This window comes from Homo sapiens, chromosome X (genome assembly GCF_000001405.40).
Source record: "Homo sapiens chromosome X, GRCh38.p14 Primary Assembly".
NCBI lineage: Eukaryota > Metazoa > Chordata > Mammalia > Primates > Hominidae > Homo > Homo sapiens.
This window is the reverse complement of record NC_000023.11, coordinates 147561507-147570685: the sequence shown is the minus strand read 5'-3', so window position 1 is coordinate 147570685 and position 9179 is coordinate 147561507. Positions and strand designations below refer to the sequence as shown.

The window sequence follows — 9179 nt, the reverse complement described above, 5'->3', positions numbered from 1 at the left end:
CCAATAGATGGCACTTATAGGTAAGAGCTATATGTGGCCAACGCTGCTGAGTAGTTTAGTTGGTGAAGCTTTCTGTCTCCTCCATGGGCTAATTTGTGGGGTGCACAGTCCTCTTACCCCTCTACTCAGCCCCAGAGTGGCAGGGAGCAAGTTAGTAAGGGCCAGAAGAGGCAGATCCTGAGTACAATTTAAAAGCAGAACAATTTGGCCTCAAATAATGATTTACAGTGTAATACATCTCAAGATGTTCAAAAGTAAAATGTTCTGTCTTGTGAGCAAATTAATTTCATGTCAGGAAGGGGCAGGCAAGTTAAGGCTATATGGCATTAAGAAGGCTATTGGAAAAAAAAAAAAGAAGGCTATTGAAAATATCTGATGGGAGATAAGACTAGGTGACTACCAAGGATCCTTTGAGGTTTCAGTTTAAGATGGTATGAATTAACCTAATATCAGAATGCATCACTGTGTACTGAGGTGTTGTTCATGCAAACGCAAAGTCACAGGCCATTTTGGATTTTCAGCTAGTTTTTTCACTAAGGTGCTATTAAATTGCCTCATGTTATATCTCTTTTCTTTTTTATACATTAGATTTATGTTTTAAATAAGGTACACATAGAAAAGCAGATTATGAATAGCATATATTGTAGAAATTAAGAGAAGAATGTTTGGTCCTGTTCTGACTACACCACTTGCTTGCTGTGTGACACTTTGTTACTCTGAACATTAGCTGTTTTTTTTTTCATTGTTACGTAAGACTACTAATAGTGCCTAAACTGTAGGTGGTTGTGAGGATAAAATGAAATATGTAAAGCACTCAGGTCAGTGCCTAAGAAAATCATAAATATTCAGTAAATGGTTACTCTTGTATTGGTGGTGTTATCATTACTTGTTTTTCTTTAATAATTGGATGTTAAACCAAAAATGTTTCCTCTCTATTAAAATACTGCATACATTTTCTTTGCTCATAGCCTAGTAAGGTTCCCTTTGTGCTTGCATTTTGTAATTATTTGATAAGTTATCCGTATTAGGCCTATGGGCAGTTTCAAACTTTAATTCTTGTACCTTTATTTGCAACAAAAAAATAACAGAATTCATGAAGCAACAGATGAAAAATGTTATCACTTTTTGAATAATACATTTAGTTGAAAATTACATGATTTAAAATATAATTGCTTCTGGAAGTGACTGAGCAGTGGAAGGATTTATTGGAAGAATGAAAAATAAAGCATTTGCTCAAAGTGCAATTTGATCTCTTACTTTGGCTTCATGTGAAGGAGTCATTTACTGCCCTGTTTTGCAGAGTGTGGTCATTTTGATATTAGTAAACAGCAACGTTCTATTCTCCAGTTACATATTTTGAAGCGTGGTTACTGTATGTTTACGCTGGTAGAATTAGAACTCAAATGTAAATTATACATTTTTCTAAAATGAAAACACAATCTGACTCTGATCTTCTTAATGTGATCTTAGGTTACTATTAAGTAAAAATTTTCTCATCTGTAAAGTCACAGTTCTTTCTTCATAGGGTTATAGTGATATTAAAGAAAGGTTATATGACATAAAATGCTTTATAAACTGAGAATCTTTAGATTAAATACTTTTAAACATACTTCTTTACTTCAGGAGTACTTGAATCCTTAATACAATAATGTTCATTGGGAAACCCCAAAAGAGGAATACAGTATTCAGGATTTTCAAAATCTCTTGATTGTAGTGCCGTTTTCTTTTCCTAGATCATCTTGAGCCATTCTTTACAGGGGGAACTAGACTTTGTCAAGACCACATAGCAATTTAGTGGTAGGACTAGAACTAGCACTCAGGTATCTCCCATTCATAGTCTAGTGCTTTTTCCTCTCTAAAATGCTGAATCCCAAATCTACAAGGAACTTAAATTAACAAGCAAAAACCAAATAATCCAATTTAAAAATGGGCAAAGGACATGAATGGACACTTATCAAAAGAAGACATACAAGTGGCCGACAAGCATGAAAAAATGCTTAACATCAGTAATCATCAGAGAAATGCCAATCAAAAACAAAGTGATGTGTCATATCACACTAGTCAGAATGATGATTATTAGAAAGGCCAAAAAATAACAGATGCTGGCCGGGCATGGTGGCTCACGCCTGTAATCCTAGCACTTTGGGAGGCCAAGTTGGGCAGATCACCTGAGGTCAGGAGTTTGAGACCAGCCTGGCCAACATGGTAGAACCCTGTCTCTACTAAAAATACAAAAATTAGCTGGGCATGGTGGTGGGCACCTGTAATCCCAGCTACTCGGGAGGCTGAGGCAGGAAGAACTGCTTGAACCCAGGAGGCAGAGGTTGCAGTAAGCCAAGATTGCGCCACTGCACTCCAGTCTGGGTGACAGGGTGAGACTCTGTCTCAAAAATAAATAAATAAATAAATAAATAAATAAATAAATAAATAAATAAATAACAGGTGCTGCAGAGAAGAGAGAACATGTATACACTGTTCGTTGGAATGCAAATTACTTCAGCCACTGTGGAAAGCAGTTTGGAGATTTCTCAAAGAACTTAAAACAGAACTACCATTTGACCCAGCAATCTCATTACTGGCTATATATCCAAAGGAAAATAAATTATTCCATCATAAAGACACATGCACTTGTATGCTCACTGCAGCAATATTCATAATAGCAAAGACATAGAATCAACCCAAGTGCCCATCAATGGTAGACTGGATCAAGAAAATGTGGTACATGGGATAATATGCAACCTTTAAAAAGAATGACATCATGTTCTTTGTGGCAACATGGATATAGCTGGAGACCATTAACCTAGGCAAATTAATGCAGAAACATAAAACCAAATACCTCATATTCTCAATTACAATGGGGAGATAAATACTGAATACACATAGACATGAAGATAGGAACAGTAGATACTGGGGACTACTAGAGGGGGGAGGGAGGGAGGAGAACATGGGCTGAAAACTACCTATTGGGTACTATGATCACTACCTGGGTGATGGGACCATCTGCACCCCAAACCTCAGCATTATGTAATATACCCATGTAACAAAGCTATACATGTATCCACTGAATCCAAAATTTTAAAAAAGAATCTAAATATAAAATCCTCGATCCTTGATTTGATGGTTTTATTGGAAGCACCAATTAATTCCTCTTTATTTTAGCCAATGAAGGAAATGAGTTTTACTTTATATCATGATCTTAATCTGTAAAATAAGGGCAGTGGCTAAGGGGTCTGTTCTGAAGCATTAGTGACTAAAAATTTGGGGGTCGAAATGTCTCTTTAGTGAAGATTTTCCTTTCTTGTGCATTTTCTGCGGGTGTCCTTGGCCTTTCATTACTGACAAAAACAATTATCTAGTTCATTTTGACATTAATAACTATAATGACATATATTGATCTTAGGCATTTATATAGCTAGATAGAGAGATAATTTTACAAATTGCTATCATACCCTAATGGCTATTTTTCATAATAGGCATTAAATTCAGTTCTACTTAATTTAATAGAAGCAAAAAAGAAACAGTATAAATGAAGTAATCTTTAAACTTCAAACATTGCTTCTCCAAATTAAATATTAGGTCCTGCAACATCTATTGTAGGATAAGAAAAATGTTATTAAAAAAACAACAAGGCAACAAATAATTGGAATTCTTATTATTTAAATTCTGTTTCTGGTAGGCAGCCTCTAAAATAGCCCCAATGACATTATGTTTACATTGTCAAAGTTTGCATCATTTTAATTTTGTTCTGTAACCATATTTCTCTCAGATGTCTCATGTCAGAAGAGTGTTTCTACTGTCTCTTAATTGTGAGTCCCTTTTGTGATGGTTCTTGTGAACTCTGATGCTTTTTGTCATTCCAGAGGGTACAGTAAAAGTATACCTCTCAAAAACAAAAGATATGTGGATTTACTTTCAGGGATAAAAAGCAGCTATGTAACAGGGAAGAGCCTGCTCTGTTCTCTGTCTTGTCTTAGAGAACAGAAACCCACAGAACCACCTATGTGATAGCAATTCTGAATTGGAAGGCAGAGCAGGTAGTCTCTGGCACACCACAGCAAGTAGATGGGCACAGAGGGAAGTGGCATACTGATGGGTTTCAGAATGAGTATATGGTAGACTTGGGATTAGAATCAAGGTAGATTACTCTTCAGTGTAAGTCTGTGTGTTTAACCACCATTCTATTCTGCCTTGAGAGAGAATGAGAATGCAATAAATGGTGGTCAGCATTATTGCCATTACTGAGGCCCTCCAATGCAAGATGGGATTTGCTTTGGCTGAGCGTGAAGGCTTGATAGTAAAGGAAATGTATGGCCATTCCTTTCCATTCCAGGAAGTGTTGAAAGTATAGCTTGAGAACTAAGAATTGACTTGTTACGAGTGACAATTGCTGGAAAATAAATAAACCACTTGCTAAGAGTAAATCTACCAAGAGTTATCATTGTGAAGAAACCACCCTTTCATTGGTTCCTTTTCCACTCACACTTTCAACTACTACTTATCTTACTGTGGGTGATAAAGATTATATGATGCTAGACACTTCACAGGCTCACAGGGTGGCTGATACCCATTTCTTTCTTTGTTTTCCTTTCTGGGCTTTGGTGTCCTTGATTTCTCACTCTCATCCAGTACAAATGTTGCCTTGCATATTTAGACGAGTAACCACCTACTTATCTATGCTGCATTTAGCTCCTGGGGTCCAGTTTGACTCTTGAGTGCTGAGGGTAGATTTACCCACCTACTGCATCTTTCACAGGGTTTTAGGCTGCCAATGCTGGGCAAAGCCCTCCCAGTTTGAACTGTCTTGTGGACTTACTGATTACAAGTAGATGTCTAGCTTTAAATCACATTTAATTAATATCAATAAGGAATCTGGTCGGGATTTTTGTAATTTAGGAAAATGAAGCCATCTTGAACTCAATTGAAATTTGACCCATTTAAGATGAAAACAAAGAAACAGGCAACATACTGAGGTATTTAGTTCATGTAAGAGTTAGAGACTTTGGTCATTATGTGCCATGTGTAAAGCGGCAACATACAATAAACAAGATGTTTCTGATCAAAGTGGAAGTATATCACAATTTAAAGGACTGTGACACAGGACCTTTTTCTCAGCAAATTTCTACATTTTAAAGATTTATTCAATTTTTAAACTCTAGAGAAGATTTTTGTATATATTTGAATGTTGCTTTCTGCTTGCTTTTTTTCTGAGTCATTAATGACTCATTGAACATGAATCATAATAATCTGTTTCTTTTCTATTTATGGTAGCATTTAGTGTTTGTTTCTTACTCTCAGTGTTGCTTTTGAAATTGCTGGAATGCACTCATTAAAAATGAGCTGGATGTTTTTGATAGTTTCCTTTTTTATAATAATGGATACTAATCACTTACATTTGTATACTGCTGTAAAGAACATTCACGTGTGCTGTCTCCTTTGATAACTGCAAAATTTTGAGGCAAGTATGTCAAATATTCCCACTTTATAGATGACAAAATTGAGACTCTAAGAGATCACACGGTTCAGAAAACTTTTAGTTGCATATCTAACATACACTTACATCTGCTGTAATTAAATGTATTGGCCTAGGTATCTGGGAAGGATGGGCAGAGCTGTATGCCTCAGGATCTAGTGGATCCAGGGCCTTCCATGGCAATTGGACTATTTTACTCCTTGATGCTTTGCTTGTTCTGTCCCCAGGTCCTATTGCAAGACCTATCTGCATGTTGACTTATGTCTTTCAGATTTCTTCACTCAGCTGGGGACATGGTCGCTGGAAGTCACAGTGGTCACGTTCTTGCTTTTTTGAAATTCAGGGGAGAAGAGAAAGCCTCTCCCTGTCCCGTTTAATACCAACTCAGGATAGCAGATTCTGAGTGGCCTGGTTTGGATTATGCGCCATATCTTGGATCAAAACCTGCATCTAAAGGAGACGTAGCATTGTGATTGGCCTGGCCAAGGTCAGATAGACACCTATCTCTGCTCCCAGATAGGTCAGGGGAGCAGAGTTTCTAATTGGAAGAAGGAAAGAAGCTGAACTACAAAGACAAAACTGTGGAAATCACAGAGGTTAAATAGTGGTTCAAGGTATTCTAATTCTTGGTCTAGTCATTTTTTTCTACCACGCCATGCTGTGGTATACTGTTTTTGTTCTCTAGAATGTTTTCTTGTGAAAATAATTCTGTTCAGTACTATGCAAAGATCTCATTAACTTATTTTTTAAAGTTTAATTTTGAAATGGTTTTAGATTTTCAGGAAATTGCAAAAATAGTACATCGAAGCCCCATTACCTTTCATGCAGCCTCTGTCAATGTTAACATCTTATATAACTATAGTACAATATCAAAACCAAGACAATGACATTGGTATAGTCCAAATAGCTTATTTGGGTTTCACCAGTTATGGGGGTATAGCTCAGGGGCAGAACATTTGTCTGCACATTTCGTCAGTTTTATATGAATTCGTGTGTATGTGTGTGTGTGTGTGTGTGTGTGTAGTTTTATGCAGTTTTATGTATAGATTCATATAATCGCTGCAATCAAGATACAGAACTGTTCCATTAACACAAAGATTTCCCTTGTTTAGTTTACTATTTATTTTCACGTCCACACTACTCTCCCACATCACTAACTCTTGGAAACCACTGATATCTTTCCATCTCTATACTTTTGTCATTTAAAGAATAGTGTGTAAATAGAATTATGTATTATTTACCCCTTTGAAATTGGCTATTTGCACTCAGCATATATATGAGGCCCATCCACATTGGTAAGTGTGTCAATAATTTGTTCTACTTTTATGGCTCAGCAGTATTCCGTGGTATGGATGTACCACATTTTGTTTTAACCATTCACTTGCTAAGGGACATCTGGGCTTCGTTTCCAGTTTCTGTCCGTTACAAATAAATCTGCTAAACACTTTTTTGTACTTATTTTTATGTAAGCAGGAGATTTCATTTCTCAGGGTAAGTGACCAAGACTGTAATTACTAGGTCATACCGTAAGCACATCTTTAGTTGTGTAAGAGGACTGCTAAACTCATTTCCAGAGTGGCTGTACTGTTTTATATCCACCAGCCATGTATAAGTGATCTAGTTTCCTCACAATACGGCCAGCATTTGGTGTTGTCACTTTTTAAAAAAATTTAGGCATTCTAAAGGTGTACAGTAATATCTCATTTTGGTTTTGATTTAATTTCCCTAACAATTTTGAATATCTCTTCATGTGCATATTTGCCATCTGTATATCCCCTTCAGTGAAATGTCTGTTCCAGCCTTTAGCCATTTTCTACATGGAATTCATTTTCTGTTGAGTTTTCAGAGTTCTTTATATATACTAAGATACTTATACATTTATACCAGGATACTTATATCCTTATATACTTATATATATGTAAGGATCCTTATATATACTTACTTACATATATACTTATATATATATGTAAGTATATACATAATGTATTTCTATACTTATAAGGATCCTTACATATATACTTATATATATATATACACACACACATATATAAGGATCCTTATATATAAGTATACATTATATACATTACATACTTATATATACATTATATACTTATATATTTAATTAATATAATGAATCCTTATATATTTATATATATGTAAGGATCCTTACATATATACTTATATATTTAATGTATATAATGAATCCTTATATACTTATATATATGTAAGGATCCTTACATGTATACTTATATATATACTTACATATATATAAGTATACATGTAAGGATCCTTATATATGTATACTTATATATATACTTACATATATATAAGTATATATGTAAGGATCCTTACATATATATAAGTATATATGTAAGGATCCTTACATATATATAAGTATATAAGGATTCATTATATACATTAAATATATAAGTATATATATAAGGATCCTTACATACATATAAGTATATAAGGATTCATTATATACATTAAATTTATAAGTATATATGTATAAGTACATATATATAAGGATATATAAGGATATAAGGATATATAAGTATATATATAAGTATATAAGGATATAAGGATATATAAGTATATATATAAGTATATAAGGATATATATATAAGTATGTAAGGATTCATTATATACATCAAATATGTAAGTATATAGGTAAGGATCCTTACCTATATACTTACATATATGTAGGGATCCTTACCTATATACTTATAGATATGTAAGTATCTATATAAGTATACATGTAAGGATCCTTACATAATATAAGTATATAGGTAAGGATCCTTACATATATATAAGTATATAAGGATTCATTATATACATTAAATATATAAGTATATATGGATAAGTACATATATAAGTATATAAGGATATGTAAGTATACATATAAGTATATAAGGATATATATATAAGTATATAAGGATTCATTATATACATTAAATATATAAGTATACATGTAAGGATCCTTACATGTATACTTATATATATATGTGTGTGTGTGTATATATATGTAAGTATATATATAAGTATACATGTAAGGATCCTTACATATATATAAGTATATAAGGATTCATTATATTAATTAAATATATAAGTATATAATGTATATATAAGTATGTAATGTATATAATGTATACTTATATATAAGGATCCTTATATATGTGTGTGTGTGTATATATATATATATAAGTATATATGTAAGGATCCTTATAAGTATATGAGAATACATGTGTATATGCAAAGATCCTTATATATATAAGAATATAAGGATCCTTACATATATATAAGTATATATATACCCTAGTATATGTAATGTATATATATAAAATGTACTTTATTATATATAATTTAATATGTATAAGTATATATGATATATGTATATACAATATATTATATCACTTATATATACATATATAAGTATATACACTTATGTATAATACATATATATACACATATATATACACTTATACATATATTAAGATACGCGGTTGGTAAACTTTTTCCCCCGTCTATAGCTTGTATTTTCATCCACTTAATAGGGTTCTTTTCAGATAAAATGTTTTTAATTTTGATGAAGTCTGATTTATCTGTTTTTTCCTTTTATGGATCATACTTTGGTGGCATATTTAAGAACTTTTCATGTAGCTCAAGGTTCTGAAGATTTTTTCTTATGTCTTCTATTAATAGAAGTTTT

At 33.1% G+C, this 9179-nt stretch overlaps 1 annotated feature.

Moving 5' to 3' along the window:
• Positions 5170-6369: an enhancer, noted in NCBI's record as "P300/CBP strongly-dependent group 1 enhancer chrX:146645835-146647034 (GRCh37/hg19 assembly coordinates)". NCBI's record gives its function as "activates an origin of replication core promoter dependent on BRD2, BRD4, P300/CBP, MED14 and CDK7 cofactors, with strong dependence on P300/CBP, by STARR-seq in HCT116 cells {active_cell/tissue: HCT116}" and the evidence as "EXISTENCE:reporter gene assay evidence [ECO:0000049][PMID:35650434]".